This window comes from Homo sapiens, chromosome 5 (assembly GCF_000001405.40).
Source record: "Homo sapiens chromosome 5, GRCh38.p14 Primary Assembly".
NCBI classification, from domain to species: domain Eukaryota; kingdom Metazoa; phylum Chordata; class Mammalia; order Primates; family Hominidae; genus Homo; species Homo sapiens.
The window spans coordinates 85,447,331-85,467,960 of record NC_000005.10 but is presented as its reverse complement, the minus strand read 5'-3'; the positions used below and the strand labels follow the sequence as shown (position 1 = coordinate 85,467,960).

General features: G+C 38.0%; 1 pseudogene; it reads right to left on the bottom strand.

Moving 5' to 3' along the window:
• Positions 2,589-3,589, bottom strand: RPL5P17 (ribosomal protein L5 pseudogene 17; annotated as a pseudogene).

The window sequence follows — 20,630 nt, the reverse complement described above, 5'->3', positions numbered from 1 at the left end:
CCCAGGCTAGAGTGCAGTGGTGCGATCTCGGCTCACTGCAAGCTCCGCCTCCCAGGTTCACGCCATTCCCCTGCCTTAGCCTCCCGAGTAGCCGGGACTACAGGCGCCCACCACCCCGCCTGGTTAATTTTTTTTTTTTTCTGTATTTTTAGTAGAGACGGGGTTTCACCATGTTAGCCAGGATGGTCTCGATCTCCTGACCTCGTGATTCCTCCCGCCTCGGCCTCCCAAAGTGCTGGGATTACAGGCGTGAGCCACCATACCCAGCCCTAATTTGTTAGTTTTACAAACGTAGTTTTTGTCCCCAAGCATGGAGAGAGTAAGTTTGGGAAGGGCTGTTATACTTGCTTTAAAGTTAAACTATAAACAAAATTGCTCCGAAAGTTAGTTAGTTATGCCCAAGAATAAGCAAGGACAGTTTAGAGGATAGAAGCAAGATGGAGTCAGCTATGTCAGATTTCTCATACTGTCATAATTTTGCAAAGGTTGTGTCAAGAAAGCATTCTATAATCTTATGCTTAAATATTAGCCTTTTAGTACAGCTGTGTCCCTGGGCTGTCGCCTTCACAAGTGCTCCCCACCAGCCCCCATCGTTATTTGATACCGGTAGGCTAAAGAAGATTGAATTCAGACAGTACTCTATGCCTTTTCCCTAGGTAGAACATGGTTTTATGAATTATTTCCCCTGGATAGTGGGCCTTTGTTATGGAGGAAACTCTTGGAAATTTTTTTGTTACCTTTCCCCTCCACAGTCAGAGCCACTAGAGAATCTATCTTGGCTCTTCACTATGAGAACTTGGTGGTGTTTCTGAAGGCAATACCCACTGAAAGTGTGGGGGTACCCCTGAAATTTGGAATTTCTGACTCTCACACTAACCCACACTCAGTTACCAGCACTAAGTCTCCCAAAATTCATCAAAATTACCATTTAAGTGTTACTACCCGTTTATGGCTCCAACAACTTCTGCTCTAGATAGTAGATCTCAATTGCAGCTCTCTGGAGTCATCTCTCTCTCTCAACTTGAAGGTGGCAGTTTTCCCTGTTAATACAGTGCCCTTATGGGGCCAAGAAAACTCTTTGGTTTTTAGTTTGTTTAGCTTTTCTTTTGTTAGGATGGAAATACAACTTCCAAGGGCACCTATACCTATTCTACATCATCTAGTTCCCTGTCTCTTTCATATTGGCTCTTACTAAATATTTTTGACTTTTGACTGATAAGTAATGTTCATCATACTGAAAATCATTAAAAATGCCAAATGTGAGCTAATACAAAAGCCTAATTTTCTCTATTTTCTTGATATATACTTAACTTTATAAAAGTCAGTGTGTCTCAACCCATGACATCATTAATAAGTGCTTTACAGTTTGTACTTTTAAAGATCCACATAATTTTCTGACTTCCTTTGTTTTATTCACGTTTATTACAAAGTTTTCCTATCACAGAACAATTCTTCTTTCCCTGAGTCTGTTACAGAACTTCATACATTTGAAATTTTGCACAGTGCTACTTCTGATATCAGAAATGCTATTTCCCCTCTACCTTGGAAATTTATTCATTCATCTAGGCACAGCTCAAATCTCAAACTTCCTGAAAAATATATCCCAATTTACTCAAGCAATTGGTTAATTTCTATGAGTTTCTGTTATTTGTTTATTCTCCTTTTGTATTTTTTGTGCAATCTTTCTACACTTCATATTTATTGTTTTCCAATTTTTCTCCCTTACTAGACTTTAGTCAAGAAACTATTCATTTTTGCGTTATTAGAGCTTTGCTCACACTGAATTCAATAAGTGTTTGTTGAATGATTAATGTCTTAAGTTTAAACCAGTCTTTTTCCCTCTCGCTATAATGTATAATCTTATAATGTGAATCTTAATGAATCAAACCAAATATTTTCTTAAATTTTCTTTATGTATTTGCACATTATTTCCTAATATTTTTTCCTGCATTGCTAAAAAACTTTGAAGAGCTCAGGCTATACAATCTAGATCAAATATAAACAATACTAAAGTACAACAGGAGTTTTTGTTGCTTCTAAGATGGAAGTGTAAACCCAACTTATTAACAGTAAAGGCATAGTGGTTTTGGCCCCATTGTAACTGCTGCAGCTCTGATGAGTGGAGGAACACCAGGGTTCTTGGTCCTCGCGCTGGTTTGGATAAAATGACATAGACACACGTGAAGTGGTTTTAAGGAGTGAAAGGTTTAATAGGCAAGAAAGAAGGAAGGAAGAAGAAAACAGCTCTCCCATGCAGAGACAGAGGGAGGGGGTATTGGAGCAAAGAGAAAACCCCAAGTGTGGCAGAAATCAGCCAGTTAATATGAAGAGGATGGAGGAGGTGGTGTCTGGTTTGCATAGGGTTCAGGGGATTGGTTTGACCAGGCATGTCATTCATGTAGCCTGTGAAAAACTGGCCTTCCCATCTAGTCATTCAATATGCAAATACAGAGCGCCATGATGTTCCACACACATGGAGATATGTGGGGGCGGCCATGATGCCAGGCACATGTGAGGCAAGGACAAGAAGAAGGTGGTAGGAATTGCCATGTTTGGGTGGACCCAGTTTCTTTTTTTTATTTTATTTTTTTCTGTCTATAAGTTTGTTGTCTTTATCTGAAAAATCGTCATGGAAAATTGTTTGGTTTAGCTCTCAGCAGCCTGCATCTGAGCTCTGAGGAAGCTTGCCTTCTTTTGAGCTACCCCATCTTTCTTCTGAGCAAGGGACATTTTGGGACGGTTCCACCTCTTCTTTTTAACTTCTTTCTTGGGGTTCTTTTCATAGACTGGATTCTCTCGTATAGCAGCATAAGCTTTCTTATACATCTCCTCCTTCATGTCTGGAGTTACACTATTCTTTATGTATTGAGAGAACTCTTTCTTGTAAGCATCTTCCATTAAGTAGTGTATGTACTCTGCAACATTCTGGTCCATGATGTGCTTCCTCTGTACTTCTGCATTAAATTCCTTGCTTTCAGAATCATAACCAGGGAATTGTTTGGTACTGTGAGGGACAGACAAGCTTCCATTGACAGCTCCCTTCAGGGCACCAAAAACTTTATTGCCAGTGGTAGTTCTGGCAAGGCCTGTGTCCAAATAGCAGGTAAAGGCACCTGGCTGGCCATCAATGCTTTCCACATTGTATTCATTGCCAGTCACCTCCACTTGGCCTTCATAGATCTTGTCCACGCCAAATCTATTGAGAAGCCTGTGGGCCAGCAGCACGCCTGTCCAATACACTGCAGCATAATTTGTCAGGCCAACTTCACACCATATTTTGGCAGTTTGTATGCATATGATGCGCAGACTATCATATCCCCGTCTATATGGGCATAAGCAATCTAATAAATGATATCTTTGTTACATGAACTATCATTCTGTATTTGGGTGTGCTGTATTTATTTTTGTCCTGTATCTCCAAGCATGTCCAAGCACAGAAATCAGTTTTACCCTCTCATCATCTTCTAAATTTCACTTAGTATCTTTCAAAGTAGGCCTTATTCTTAACAACTTTAACAAACCCCATCCTGCTGAATAGAGACCTGCATCCATGGCTTGACAAAGACCAATAGGCCCAACAGCACTAGGGATCAGAAAGGGCCACAACCCTTGCGCAGACACAATTGTGGGACCCAGTTTTTAATGGCTTGCAATTGCATATCAAAGATTGCCTGGTCAAACCAATCCCCTGAGCCTCTAAGAACCGGGGCTTTCCTGCTAGACAAGAAATGTTTCTGGAGCTGCTTTAAAAGAAACAAAAACTTTCCAAGGACCCTTTTTCCTCTCTATCTGCCTAAAGTAATTTCTTAATAACTCCTATAACATAACCTCATATTAAGCATTTTTGGACTTATAGAGAGAAAGGGCTGAGGAAAGCAAAAATACAGAAGATGAAGCAGTCTGGTCATTTCAGAGTTACTTTCCTTGTAAAGGTTAAAGCAAAGGTGACTTTGTTATTATGCTGGCTAAAAATGTCCTATGTGGGGATTTGGCTGTTTTTTCCTTCTTCTGATTTCTTGGAAGGTCAGATAAACACTTAGTTTTGGTTTTGTCATGTGGAACGTCAGCATGAGCAACTCCATTTGGGTTTAGTTTGTTGGGCCTAGAACAGAAAGTTCAAACCAATGGTCTCCTACACATTTTATTTAACAATTTCCCATTTTTAGTTAGGATCTCAAGTAGAACCAAACCTAAAGCACTAATGCTACTCTCAGTCACCATCATTTTGGGATTTGGGTTTTAACATATCTTTCATAAGTTACAGTGTATTGATTGTCATATGTTACTTGAAGTTTTTATTATTGCATCCAGAAAGGCCACTTAGTATTCAGCAGACGGCTGCATGTGGACATTTAAGATTTTCTGAGAGGGCGTATTGCACCAGGAAGACTAGTATTATGACTATCAAGAGGATAATACCAAGAGTTTGGAGTATATCCCTTAGCTAGGGTCACCATAAACCAAACCAACCAAAATTGAATAGACAAAGAACGAGTCAGGCAATAAATCTTACCTATTTTAACCAAGTAATTGGTTTACCAATTTTTTGCAACTGAATTTGTACAACACCTGATGTATTTATCCATATGCAATAAGAAGTGCCATCAGCCTTACAGACTCTTTTCTGTTCAGGTAGTAGAAAATCTAGCATCCCATGACAGGTTAAACTAAAGCAGGGAGTGAGAATAAATGGGTATACAAATTTTATTCTATAAAAGAGACCTGGGGTATAATTTGAACAATAGTTGCACAATGGATATTGCTCAAGTTACTCACTAGTGGATTAAAGAATCCCTTGGGTGAGGTAAATATTTGGATTTGGTGTGACAGATCCAACATTTCATCAAGTTATTCACAGAAGCTGCTGACTGTGAATTTGTATGTATAGCATTATTCCACCAAGCAAAAAGGGTAGGCACGCACAAGAAAAAAATAAGAGTAAGAGTCCTACTATGATGGAAACTCCTGTTCTGATGTCTTGAGGAAAAGCCACTCACAGCAGGAAATCATTAATATGTCCTCGTTGTTTGCAGTTTGAATGTCTCTGATTATGGCATGAAGGATTTTAGTAAATTTTCTGTGTGGCCCATATAGGGCACAAGACAAGGGTGTAAAAATTGCAAGGGTGAATTTTACATCAAGTTTTCCAGCTTCAGGTTGTAGGGTTTCAGGAATAGAGCAATTGTTGTTCTCAGTTGGAGAGCTGTAGCCAGATGTTGCAGGAAATTAGAAGAATTCAGGATCCAGTCCTGTATACGGGTAGATCATAAAAACTTGAAAACAATAAAAAGGACTACAATATAATAACAGGTATACCTATAGCTTTTCTTCAGAAACTTAATTTTTTTTCTCTCTACAGTTACCCTCATTTCTAACAAAGATAAATGGAATGAAATCAATTTGTTTGCAAAACCAGTACAGTTTCATTAAACTTGGTCAGATTATTTACATAACTACAGGAAAAATATATATTGATCACATAGGCTCTTTTGCAGTTGACTTTACTGGAACTTTTGACAGAGAATCTTAGACTGGACTTTAAAACCTCTCAAGGCTAAAAGTCAAATCAAAGCAGACTTCAGACTTCACCTGCAGTACCTATAGATTCATTCTATGTGAATTCTCAAATGACATCCCTTTTAAAGCTGTGGTAATATAACCAGTATTTCTAATGGTATCTTGTTATAAAGGGAGTTGATTATAATTTAGCTTATCCAAATAATTATATTTCCCTAAAATAACAATATTCCTGAATAGTTTCTAAATTCTGGATGGATAAGATAGGGAGAAAAAGTAAATGTTTCCATTTCTGTTCACAAGAATAGACTTTACCAAATTTCTGTAAACTATATATAGCTCAAAAGAAAAACATAATCTTTAAATCTGAAAACCAGAGCATTTTTTAAAAGCAATATTTCAAATTAATAAGATGCATAAATTCATAATTATTTTTATCAGCTCATTCTGTCTCATGTAATTAATTATTGTTTTGTTTGTTCTTAGCAGTTTCACAAATCCAACAGAGTTAGAGTTCTAGAAATTCTTACCTGGTCCAATGGTATAATCTTAATGTTATCAGAAATCTGTATTTGTCAGAGTACTTTCCTTCTTTTCCATGAATCTCCCTGAAGAGATAACACTTTAGGATTATAGTTGCTTATAAAAAACTTTCAGAAAAGCATTAGAATAAAGCAATTAATGGTACAACAAGATATAAAATGGCTATGCTTAAGAGCAGATGAGTGTTTACTACAATAATGACACAATTGAGTACAGGCACAGTAGCTCACACCTGTAATCCCAGTGCTTTGGAAGTCCAAGGCACGAGGACCACTTGAGGCCAGGAGTTTGAAATTGGCCTGGGCAACATAGCGAGATCCCATCTCTATACAATGTAAAAAAAAGAAATTAGCTGGGCATGGTAGCATGCCCCTGTAGTTCTAGCTACTTGGGAGGCTGAGGTAGTAGGAGCATTTGGGCCCAGGAATTTGGGCCTGCAGTTGGATATAATAATGCCACTCCAGCCTGGATGACAGAGTCAGATTTTGTTTCAAAGATAAAAAAAGAAAAATGGCCAGTTGTGGTGGTTCATGCCTGTAATCCCAGCACTTTGGGAGGCCGAGGTGGGTGGATCACCTGAGTTCAGGAGTTTGAGACCAGCCTGGCCAACATGGCGAAACCTCATCTCTAGTAGAAATAATAATAATAACAAAATTAGCTTGACATGGTGGTGTATGCCTGTAATCCCAGCTACTCCAGAGGCTGAGGCATGAGAATCACTTGAACTCAGGAGACGGAGGTTGCAGTGAGCCAAGACTGCGCCACTGCACTCCAGCCTGGGCAATAGAGCAAGACTCTGTTTCAAAAAAAAAAAAAAAAAAAGACAAAATTGAGAACAAAATCTGGCCATATTTTATTATGTTAGTTTGTGGCATACAACAAATTAATATAAAAATTGAAATATTGGCTGATAACATCAGATTTCTATGAATTTTATATACTTTTTGGAACACACATTAATAACATATTTATCCAATTCATAGAACTATAACTCAAAGAAGGCTAACATTACTTATTTAACAATGCCTCCCACATAATTTAACATATTAAATAAGCATAATTGGCTTACTATGTCTCTTTCAGACATTCCTGGGACCTTTCTGGATTATCCCAAAGTGAATTCAAAGTCAAGAGATATAAATCCAACTTTGATTTTGGGAAGTTTATGAAAAAGATCAAAAGTTTTAAACTTTTTATCAAAATAGGATTACAGATAACTGTAAAATAATATTCATTTAATCAGATTGATAATTAAATGACTTCAAAAGGCAAATATAGAAAGTAATATAGTTTTAGAAAAGTATTTAGCTCTGTGATAGAATACTCAGTTTTCTTAAGCAATCAAAGATCTCCTAAAAATAATATGAAGCACAGGGCACCATTTTAATAAAACACGGAATCTTTGTTTCTTAGGCCAGTTACCTCAAAGGTAAAGAAAAACATTTTACTATTAGAATACCACTTGGAGGTGCCAAGATGGCTGACTAGAAGAAGCTAGTGTGCTGCCACTCTCACAGAGAGGAGACAGAGTGGTGAGTAAACAATAGTTATTTAAATGGTTCATCCAGGAGGACACATTGTGGTTCACCAAGGAAGCAACGTGACCCATAGAGAACAGAGAGGAGTGAGGCAAGACAGCTGAGCTCCTGGGATTGGTGCAGAGCCAACGGAGGCTCCTCATGGTGGGGAAAGGGTGAGAGAGTGAGAGCCCTTGGGGACTCACACTGCTGCCATGGACATTTGCAATCCTGGGCACAGGAGACGCCCCCTGACTCCCAGCCGTGGAGCCTCCAGACTGACACGGAGAACTGCATGGAGTCTGGGCAGAGCCACCACTCAGACCTACATAGACCCAAAAGTGCCTTGGATATCTGAGCACCTTGCCGCTAGCTGCTATATCTCCACCAAGGGAGGCCAGTCTCTCTCCTGCACTCCCAGGATACAGGCCAAATCCATGGAGCTGAGGAGCAGATGGATTGCAGGCCTTGCCTCTAGAGTACCTCACCAGGCAAACCCCATTGGCCTGGGATCCCAGTGCAGCCAATCCACCCTCACCTGAGTACTCAGGCTGGTAACGGTTCTGTCTTTCTCTGGTTTAGACCTCCCACAGGTAACCAACAGCCCTGCAGCTTTTGCCACGGCTGAAGCCCCTGCCCCCACTTCCTTTAGGCTAGGGAGGAAGTGAAGAGCCCCAGAACAGTCATGGGCCTCTAGCACACCACAGCTGTTGTATGGAAAAGCAGCCAGACTGTCTTCCTTGTGGGTCCCTGTCTCTGCTACTCCTCACTGGGCAGGGCCTCCTGACCTGGGCCCCCAGCACATCCACCCTGCCCCCACCTGATTACTTCAGTCAGTGGAGGCTCTGTGTTTCTCTGGGATGGAATTCCCAGAAACACCTGACAGGCTCTCTACCATTGCTGCTGCAGCAGTACCAACCCTTGCTACCCTCAGGCGGGGGAACAAAGACCCTGATCACTTGCACCTCAAGCACACTTCAGCTGCTAGACAGAGAAGATCCCAGTCTCTCCTCTCTGTGAGCCCCCAACCCCCTGCTCTTTACCACTTAGGTCTCCTGACTTGGGCCTGCAGCATAGCTGCTTCACCCTTGGCTGAACATTCCCATTGGCAGTGGCTCTGTGTCTCTCTGGGGTGGAAGTCCCATAGGCAATTGACAGCCCGTATGCCATTGCCATTGTGATGGTATTGCTCTTGCTGCCCTTGGACTGGGGAACAGACAAGGACCTTGGTCAGTTTGCATACCTCCAGCATATCACAGCTACCCTAAGGAGAAGAGGCTAGTTTCTCTTCCCTGTGCACCCCTGACTTCCTGCTTTTCACCAGGCAGGACCCCTAGCTTGGGCCCATAGTGCAGTCACCCTATCCCTAGGTGAACATTCTCATTGGCAGTGGCCCTGTGTTTCTCTGGGATGGAATTCCCAGAAATAACTGACAGCCCCTTTGCCGCCACTACCACTGCCGTGGTACCCTCCCTTGCTGCTCTTGGGCTGGGGAATGAACAAAATCCCTGATCATTTTGCTCACATTAAAAGCATGCTGTGGGTGCCCTATTGAGGGAAGGCCATTCTCTCTTTCCTATGAGCCCGTTGTTCTTCACCAAGCAGGGCCCTGGTAGGGCCTGCAGCACAGCTGCCCCACTCCAGGCTGAACCTCCCCATTGGTAGCAGCTTTGTGTCACTCTGGAGTGGAGTTTCCAGAGGCAACTGACAGTCCATATGCCACTGCCACTGCACCAGTACTTGCCCTTGCTGCTATGGGCCTGAGGAAGCAACAAATAGCCTCAGTTCTTTACTTGCATCTCCAGCATGCCACAGTCACCCTATGGGGAAGAGGCCAGATTGCCTGACACCCTCTGCTCTGCACCAGGCAGGGTCCCCGTGGCATGTACTAGCAATGCACTCACTCTACCCCCAGCTGATCATTCTGATTGGCAGTGGCTGCATTTCTCTGAAGTGGAACTCCAAGAAACAAATGAAAGACCCACTGCCGTTGCCACTGCCAAGTCCCTTCTCCTGTTGCACCCAAGCTGCAGAGGGAAAACAAACAAACAAACAAAAAAAAAAAACCAAAGCTTGCCCCGGGGCTGTGTTGTGCAGCCCAGGAGTGCCAAGCTGGGATCTGCAGCCAGCACTCAAGTTGGAGAGGACACATTCTCAGAGCACTGAGAGAGAGACCATAGCTGCAAACACAAGGAAATACAGAGGAGCCACCCAGCTGAATAAGAACCTACCTACCAGCCATTACACTTAAGTGCCATCTACTGTATCACATCCCAAACTTCATCACCAAATACTTTGCTAGTATACTGTCCTATGGAACCAAGGACAATAATTCAGCCATAAATAAGAACCCTGCTCATAGCCTTGGTCCTCTGAAAAATTTAGAAATAAAGCCAACTGACTATACTCAAATTACATCACAGTTAAAAGAAGAACAGCCTGCCCATATGAGGAAAAAAAAGAAAAAGAAAAAACAGCACAAGAACTCTGGCAACTCTAAAAGCCAGAATGTATTCTTACATTCCAATGACTGAACCAGCTCCCCAGCAATAGTTCCTAACCAGAATAAAATGGCTGAAATGACAGGCATAGAATTAAGAATTTGGATGTCAACAAAGATCATTGAGATTCAAGAGAAAGTTAAAACCCAATCCAAGGAACCTAAGGAATTCAGTAAAAAGTATCAAGAGATGAAAGACAAAATAGCCATTTTAAGAAAGAACAAAACTGATTTGATCGAGCTGAAAAACTCACTACAAGAATTTCATAATACAATTATAAGCATTAACAGCAGAATAGATCAAGTTGAGGAAAGAATTTCCGAGCTTGAAGAGCAGTTCTTTGAATCAACTGAGTCAAGCAAAAATAAAAAAAAAGAATTTTAACAAATAAAACCTTCCTGAAATACGGGATTATGTAGAGTAACCAAAGTTATGACTCTTTGGCATCCCTGAAAGAGAGGGAGAAAGAGAAAGCAAATTAGAAAACATATTTAAGGATACTGTCTACAAAAGCTTTCTCAACTTCGCAAGAAAGGCCAACATTCAAATTCAGGAAATTCAGAGAACCCCTGCAAGACATGATACAAGACAACCATCCCCAAGACACACATTCATCAGATTCTTCAAGGTTAAAACAAAAGAAAAATTATTAAAGGCAGCTAGAGAGAAGGGACAGGTCACCTACAAAGGGAACCCCATCAGGCTAACATTGGACCTTTCAGCAGAAAGCCTACAATCCAGATGAGATTAGAGGCCTATATTCAGCATCCAAAAAGAAAAAAAAATGCTAACCAAACTATGTTTTATAAGTGAAGGAGAAAAAAAGATCCTTTTTAGACAAGCAAATGCTAACAGAATCCATTACCACCAGAACTTCCTTACAAGAAATCCTGAAAGGAGTGCTAAACATGAAAACAAAAGATCATTACCTTCCACCACAAAAATGAAATTAAGTATATAGGCCACAGGTACTAAAAAACATCTATACAATGAATTCTACTAACAAACAGCTAGTAACATGGTGACAGAATCAAATCTGTATGTATCAATATTAATCTTGAATGTAAACAGGCTAAATGACCAACTTAAAAGGCATGGAGTGGCAATAGTAGAAAGAAGGAAAACTCAACTGTATACTGTTTTTAAAAGCACCATTTAACATGCAAGGACACTCATAGGCTCAAAATAAAGGAATGGAGAAAGACTTATCAAGCAAAAGAAAAACAAAAAAGGCCAGGGGTTGACAGAATTCAAACCAGTAATGATCAAAAAAGACAAAGAAGGGCATTACATAATGATAAACGATTCAATTCAACAAGAAGATTTAATTATCCTAAATATATATGCATCCAACACTAAAACATCCAGATTCATGAAACAAGTTCTTAGAGACTTATGAAGAGACTTAGATAAACACACAATAATAGTGGAAGACTGCAACACCCCACTGAAAATATTAGACAGACCATCGAGGTGGAATATGAACAAAGATATTCAGGACTTGAACTCAACATTTGATCAAATGCACTAACAGACGTCCACAGAATACCTCATTAGAGAATGTACATTCTTTTCATCTGCACATATCACACACTTTAAAACTGACCACATGCTTGACCACAAATAAATTCTCAACAAATAAAAAAAAAAACTGCACACTTGAATCACAGCGCAATAAAAATAGAAATGAATATCACGGAGATCTCCTAAAACCATACAATTGAGACTCCGTCTCAAAAAAAAAAAAAAAAAAAACATACAATTATATGGAAATTAAGCAACCTGCTCCCGAATGACTTTTGGGTAAAGAATAAAATTAAGGCTGAAATGAAAAAATTCCTTGAAACTAATGAAAACAAATGTTCAACATACTAGAATCTCTGGGACACCACTAACACAGTGTAAAGAGGAGGGTTTATATTACCGAACACCGACATCAAAAAAGTTAGGAAGATCTCATATTAACAACCTTATGTCACAACTAGAGGAAAAAGAAAAACGAGAGCAAACCAACCCCAAAGCTAGCAGAAGAAAATAAATAATCAAAATGAGTTGAACTGAGCAAAATGTAGATGAGAAAAGCCATACAAAGGGGCAATGAACCAAAAGTTGTTCTGTAAAAGAAAAAATAAGTCTGATATAACACAAGCTAGACTACTAAAGAAAAAAAAAAAGAAAAATAAACAAAATCAGAAATTATACAGGGGACATTCTGTGATCTCACAGAAATACAAACAAACAAAAAACCTCATAGACTAATGTGAACACCTGTATGCATACAAGTTAAAAAAAACTAGAGGAAATGGTAAATTCCTGGAAACATGCAGTCACTCAAGATCGAACCAGTAAGAAACTGAAAGCTTCAACAGGCTAATAACAAGTTCTGAAATGGAATCATTAATAAAATAATCTACTCACCAGAACAGATTTATAGCCAAATTCTACCAGATGTGTAATGAAATGTTGGTACCAATTCTATTGAAACTATTCCAACAAATCAAGGAGATGAGACTCCTCCTTAACTCATGCTATGAGGTCAACATCATTCTGATACCAAAACCTGGCAGAGACACAATAAAAAAAAAAGAAAATTTCAGGCCAATATTCCTTAAGAAAATAGATACAAAAATCCTCAACAAAATAATAGCAAACCAAATCCAGCAGTGCATCAAAAAGCTAATCCACTACAACCAAGTAGGCTACATTCCTGGGATGTGAGTCTGGTTCAACATTCACAAATAAATAAATGTAATTCATCACATATACAGCACTAAAAGCAAAAACCATATGATCTTCTCAATAAATGGAGAAAGGACGTTCAATAAAATTCAACATCCCTTTATTCTAAAAACTCTCAACAAACTAGGAATGGAAGAAACATATCTCAAAATAGCAAGGGTCATGTATGACAGACCCACAGCAAACATCATACTGAATGGGCAAAAGCTGAAAGCATTCCCCTTGAAAATCTGAACAAGACAAGGATGCCCACTCTCACCACTCCTATTCAATATAGTATTGAAAGACCTAGCCAGAGCAATCCAGCAAGAGAAAGAAATAAAAGGCATCCAAGGGCCAGGCACGGTAGCTCACACCTGTAATCCCAACACTTTAGGAGGCTGAAGTAGGTGTATCACCTGAGGTCAGGAGTTCGAGATCAGCCTGGCCAACATGGTGAAACTCCATTTTTATGAAAAATATAAAAATTAGCTAGGTGTGGTGGCAGATGCCTGTAATCCCAGATACTTGGGAGGCTGAGGCAGGAGAATCGTTTGAACCCGGGAGGTGGAGGTTGCAGTCAGTGAGCCAAGATCGCACCATTGCACTCACTCCAGCCTGAGCAACAAGAGCAAAACTCCATTAAAAAAAAAAAATCCAAATAGAAAGAGGGGAAGTCAAACTATCTCTTTTTGCAGATGATGTGATTCTATACCCAGAAAAAGAAATGTGTATGTAAGATGCCTAGTTAAGACAAAATGGTCAAAAGTGGGGCTTGTTTAGACCAATGTTCTCTATTATTATAAGAATTTCTAGTGGTTTTCCTTTATAGGTGTAAATTTTTTGAAGAGTTTCAAAAGAGCCAGATAAATGCCAGGAAAGGGTATTTTGAAAACTGATTTGGTTCAATATTTTCAATTTAGCTTGTGTCTTAACTGCATTACTGACTTTAAGATGCAGCTCATTAACTAATGGGGCAAAAGAAGCATTTTAAATACTGAAACTCAGTGTGGATATTTCTATAAAAGAAGACACAAACTTGCTTTACCTGAGGGCCAAACTGTTATGAATACTTCATGTAGCTTTCCTTTCACCTTTGGGGTGGAATAGTACCTAAGTGAAAAGGTTAGTAGATTCCATTTTTCTTATCAATTAGTTGCTTAAGCTTTTCATCTGTTTCTTGTAAAGAGTCTTTTAAAAAGAGAAAATAACAGTTTTTTGAAAAATTTTTAGAAGTTTCTGCACATGAATAGGCATCCCTGGATGGGCCTGATCTGGGAGCCCTCATTTTTAGATGCATTTTTTAAAGTGTTGAGTTGTTCATCTGGAATTTCCACATAACGGCCATCTTAATTTTAAATTGTCTTTGGTGATATTTCATCATTTTTGTAATTGTTTTCTGCTTCCTGAACCTAATACTTATACATGTAAAAGGCAAGCATAGCTGGAAAATAGATTACTTAATTCTATAGAAATCAAGGATTTTATTTTTACATTGAATCTTTGGTGTCTTCCAGCCAAGATAATACCCCGAGAGGGAAACACCACACGGTTGGGTCATGTAATGCTTTCACAGTAAACCTCATTACAGGAACATTTTCTTTAGGCTGTTGGGTGCTATCAAGCTCTGTGTCTAGTTTATCCTCCCACAGTAGTCTAATTTTTGGTGTTATGTGCTCTAATAGCTTTTAAGTGCCTGAATCTTGCCCACCAGTCAAGTTATGCCTTGTGCCTGAGATCTGCTTGACTAACTTGGCCAATAATTTCCCCCTAGCTTAACATGCAAAAAAACAAAAATAAAGTAACAAAAAAGATATAATTCAAATTGCTGTGAATTTCAAAAGTCATAGTTCACAGACCCTGCAACTTACCACAGCCACAGCAAATTACCTTTAAAACTAAAGCTCTTGCCAGTGACTCATCAGCCACTACAAATCCCAAAATGTCATATGTTCTCTCACAAAACAAACTAACCCTCAGTATACAACCCAAGGTTATGCAATCTCACAACACAAGCTAACCCTCAGGACACACCCCAAGGTCATGTGCTCTCTCACAACAAAAAACTAACACTCAGTATGGTATGCACACCAAGATCATGCATTCTCTCACAGCACAAACTAACACTCAGTATGGTACGCACACCAAGATCATGCATTCTCTCACAGCACAAACTAACCCTGGATTTGAAAATCAAAATTACTGGGGGGCTTACTCCTGAAAGAGAAGAGTTTGACTTCAGAGGAACTTAAAATTTTGAAACAAAAATAAAATCCTAAAGCTCACAACTGACTGAATAGACCTTCTTTTGGCCAAGAAGTCCCGAGAGAAACCTAAAAACTGAGTTCCCAGACATGCCTCTGTATGCCCCTTCCTTATTAATTTTGAATCAGAATTGTTATTTTCTAAGGAGTAAGCAAAAGCTATTTCTAGAAAACAAGAAACTGATGACTCATTCCTTTATCTCCTTTAGCAAGTCATCTGAGGTTGTGACTGGTCGCCCCCTCCCTCTTTGCAGTTATGATGTGACATTTCACTTGCTTCACAATCCATCTCTTTGTAAAAACTGACTACCATCTCTGGACTGGTTTCGGCTGACTGGTAAGCATGCCCAGTGAGGGTTTCTTGTCCTCTCTTCACCTTTTGATATCAGAAGGCTGAAAACTCCACCCTTGGATCATGCTAATGACATCATTTTTTGAACATGTGACCTACAATGAGGCATGAAGCTCAATTGCACATACACATTTCTCCTTTCGTAAATATTCATGGCTCCTCCTATAGCTTATTGAATATGCATACTTAGCCAAAGCATGTAGCATAAATTCCTGTCTTATCTTTCCCTCTCTCAAAGTGCTTGCACTCAGCTTCTGACAGGAGGCTACCCTTCCCAGCCCTCCAGGGAGCAGGTTACAAGATGTCCAGCCTGCAGGCTGCAACCCTTTAAAAGAAATAAAGCTGTTCTTTCCAAATTTAGACACCTCATGATGCTTCAGTTGACACAACCCTCACGGCTTCATGAGGAAGACAGGGGATCTCAGAAAGGGGTCAGAGGCACCTCTCCTCCATTCCTCAAGGAGTCTTTGGGGTTGTCAGAAGTGTCCCTTAGGTTTCTTTGTCAATCTCCAAAACTGCCAAAAGACAAAATTACAACACATTTAGTTTAAAGAACTTAATTGAGTTCTATTTGCAATTCTAGAATTGGGCAATACCTTATTCTATAAAATATACCTTATTCTATAAAACAGAATGAGTGCCCTAATAAGCGATGCAAAGAAATTTGGCTTTATAGACAGAAAGGGATAGGGAAAGCAGAAACATATAACAAAAAACAAATAGGTTGTTTCAAAATTGCTTTGCCTATAAAAGTTAAGGTACAATGGACTCTCTTATATGCCAGTAAAAACTGGCCTTTCTGGGGATTTGGCTATTTTTCTCTCCTGATTTCTTAGATCAGATAAACAGTTTTGGCTTGGTGGTGTGGAATGTCAGAATGAGCAGCTCCATTTTGGTTTGCTCTGTTGGACCTGGTGCAGAAAGCTCAGTCCAAATCATTGGTCTCCTATAAATTATATTTAACAGAATGCAAAAAAATAAATTATATTTAACAGAATGCTCTTAAATTAGCATTGGTTCATTGGGGCATTCCCTTTGGTGTTAGTAACGTTGCTATATTATTGAGTGTTTTGTCCATTAATAGCCACTTTATATTTTAATTGCATTATATGAAATGGTAATAAGAAGGGATTCAGAAGAAATTGTGACCTTTTGAGAAATTCTTGGCTGTTTAAAACATTAGCTGTGGTTCTCAGAGCAAATGTGTACAAAAGATTATCCATCAGCTATGATACACCAATGAAGGAAGTGATGAATTGTGATTTTAAATGATGCTCTAGGATTACTAAATATGTATTTACCAGAAGTGGAGATAATCACTTATCTTTAATTCTTCAGTATTTAAATTAAATTTCCCATATTCTTCCATATTTTTCTTATTTTGTTGTCTGCCTTTATATAGATGCTAGCAATTGTTTTCTTATTCATCCATCCACTCATTCCTTCATGTATTTTGGTTTTTAAAGATGTGCCCTAAACACCAGAAAAGGAGAGCAGTTTAATAGAGAAAAGCCACCCATTTTATCACTTGTCGGCCTTTTGGCTAAGATCAAGTGTGAGAAAAGCCACCCATTTTATAGAAAATGGTAGTTGACTGCAACTACTAATAGTATTTATCAGCATTTTAGCTCAGCTCACCGAGTGATGACTGTTTGAACATGGCCTTTTTTATCCTCTCTACCCACCTCCCTCTACTATTTCTATGTCATATAGAAAAAAAGAATGAAAAAGGACATGTTCTGTATGAAACACATGAACATGTTCTTCCTCATTCTTTTTCAGTTTTTCTGCTAAAAGAATATAGAAACAGAATGCCTTTCTTTCTTAATGAAGAATCATTTCCATCATGAAGTTTTAATGGAGGGGGACAGAATAAGTTTTTAACACACAGATACACACACACACACACATACACACACACAGACACACAGACACAATCTAAGGAGTATTCTCTATGTCCTGGGAACTATCAACTATGTACTCTCCTTGACTCTCCTGGACATCAGTTTTAATGAAGTTGCCACTCTTAGAATGCTGCAGAGATCACTGTAGGGGTATGACCTTTATTTAAGTAAAGGTTTCAGTCTATGGCCCTTCTGTGATCTGCCGTCATTCTTGGTCATCCTGACATTTTCCCAAAGGCCAAGGATCTCAGTTGCTGATTTTTACACCTGAGGATCATTTGTCTTTTGCTGTCATTTTCTAGCTACTGATGTCAATGTTAACACTGCTACAAATAGACATTGCCTCAAGAAAACACACAAATCATTTCTGGTTAAAAGGAGACTATATGTTTGCTAAAACTGCCTCTGCATCACTTGTCTATAAGAATTGCTGACGGGATTATTTCTTCTTTGTGCCCTTGGGAAAATAACTCTTCTACATCCTGAATGTCCTTTGAAGTCAGTAGTAAGCATAAATAGAGTGCTAAAAGAAATAACATTCTAATCTTTTATAATGCACTTGATAGTATATTATGATACAGCTCTGTAAAAAAAATTTATAGAACAGTGAATGGCATAAGAAGCATGGTGAAACACTGAATGAGAAGTAGATTAAGCATCTCTCAGGCTTCCGTCTTTTAAAAACATATAAAGTAACATTTTTGTAGTAGGTTGCACCATAATTAAGAATTTTTTTAAATGTGATTTTCATTGGATTTATGCCTCCTTAATAAATGAGTCAACGAGATTTTTTAATTCAGTTTTCTTTAAAGAGTATTTCCATCTCTAAACATAACATAACTTCTTTTTTAAACTAAAAATGCTTTAAAAGTTGTACCTCCTCCTTCTTATTCCATTATTTCTTATCCCAATATATTGGAAAGGAGCTTATTGTAAAGGAAAGCAGTTCTGTTCCACTATGTCTAGGATTGGTGGGTATATTTGTAGATCTAGGAAAAAATAATAGAAAAAGAGAAATTTAAAATAAAGTTAAAAGAAAAACAAGCGATGAAGGAAGACTCACATCAAATTGGGAGAACACTCATAGCCAGAAAGGTCAGTCTTACTAAGTAGAAACACTTGATATTGGGTGACAATATAAAATAAAAGGGGCAAGAGAGAATGGAAGAGACCATAGGCAAGGAAAGAAAAAAACATAGCCAAAAAGTAAATATGATTTTTCTTTAATTTTTCAATAAATTAGAAATGAAATCTACTGCAGTTGAGGTAGTCTATGGTGTTAAGGTTGTGGATTTGAGATTATTAATTTTTATGAAACTGTGTAATGAAGTTCATGTGAATAAAATTATAACTGAAAAAGGGATATCTTACAATTTATTCAATTGTGAAGTTTTACTGGAGACAGAAAGCAGGGCTGTATACTTTGCACTAGAGCTCATGCAACTTTGCAAATAGGAATGAAGAAATAAGACAGTGATAGTTACCCAGAGTAAGGACCAAAAGGGGGAGGGAAGAGACTTCAATGATAATATGAAGCAATTATTAATTAGTATATTATAAATATCATATGTTTTTACTAATTTTAATACCCAAGATGTTTCCAAGAGAAGTCCTCATAAAGTTTAATACATTTATATGCCTGCTCTATTTTCTAGAATCACATTAAACGATGGTATGTGAGCATGATTATTGTATTTATAATCAAGTAATAAAATAAATGATTCCTTTAATGATGCTTTGTATTTTTATCTCAAATTTGGTTACTACCTCTACAAAATTTTATATATGCCAATACTTATAATGTTGTTAAATACCATTTTCCTCAAATTATATATACTTCAATGATGGAAATATCTGTATATGAATTTAAAAGTCTTATTTTACCTGTTTGAAGGGACTATCTTTTTTTAAATAATTACATTCTGGATATAATCAATTTTAATGCATTGCTGGACTTAAAAAGAGTAAAAAATGTATATCCACCACATGTACACTGGCCCCTCTAAAGAAAAAGTGAATGAAAAGGAGAAGAGGAAGCAGTAAGCAGAATGCAGACACTAGAGGTATCTTATGATGCATGGTGACACCAGTGTTGCTATTAATGACACAGTTAAACCCAGGGCCATTTGCAAATTGTAGGAAATGAATAAGAGACTCCATTATTAAGCAAAGGATTTTCAAGGTGGCATAAGCAGTCCTAGGTAGTTCGTGTATTCCGGGCACCAGAGAAAAAAAAAAAAAAACATATATAGCACCAATTCAGAAAATAAATTGAAAATCAAGAATACATTTCTAAATATCTCAAAGATAACAGGATAAATTGTAATGCAAATTTTAAAGACACAGAAAAGTAAAACGTAATTTCAACACTACTGCATTTTGTTAAATACGGTGAATTTGGGTAGATAAAAGTAAATTTATAACTTCAGATGCTTAAATTAGAAAATAATTACCTAAGAAAATAAAAGAGCTTAAAATTAATGAGTGTCTAACTCAGAAGTTAAAAACAAGAAAACAACAGATGTAAACTTAGAAGATAATTTTTAAATAAATGAACAAACACAATGGCAAATAAATCCAACACAAAATTAAGAATCAGCAAGTCCACACTTGAAATGTATAATAAAATATCAAACTTTCAGTGAGATTAAAGAGAGAGAGAGAACCTGGAGAGAGAGATGGACACAGAAAGACCAAGACGCAGAGAGAGAACACAGATAAACTGAATTGAGAGTAAACACATATGGTACAGCAGAGATTGTAGAGAAATTACCATGATTGATTTTTATACTAGTGTATGTTAAACTATATGCATGGAAAATTACTAGGAAAATTACTTTCAGAATCTATCCCTAAAAGAAAGAGAAAGCTGCACTGTTAAACTATTAAAGAAATTTAAACAATAGTTTAGTGGGAGTACCAGCTAATCTCTTTTTAAGAACAGAACATTTCAGACATAAAAAAGACATCTTTTGGTGAACAGATAATTGAAAAAAATGCATACCTCCACTTTTTCTATGAGGACAGTCTAGCTTTTACATCAGAATTCACAAGGACAGTATAATCAGGGCAATACTACTAGAAAATTCAGATGAAGCTATGACAATTCATATGGGAATAAGATAAACAAAGATAAAACTCCTGGGCCAAAGTATATTTATCCTAAAAAGTAAGGTGTGTCTATTATTAGAAAATGTGTAACTGCTATTCCCCACAGTAAGAAATTGCTTGTGTGTGTGTGTGTATGTGTGTGTGTGTGTGTATTTCATTTGATGGTAAAAAAAAAAAAGACAAAGTTCAAAGCATAATTTTGG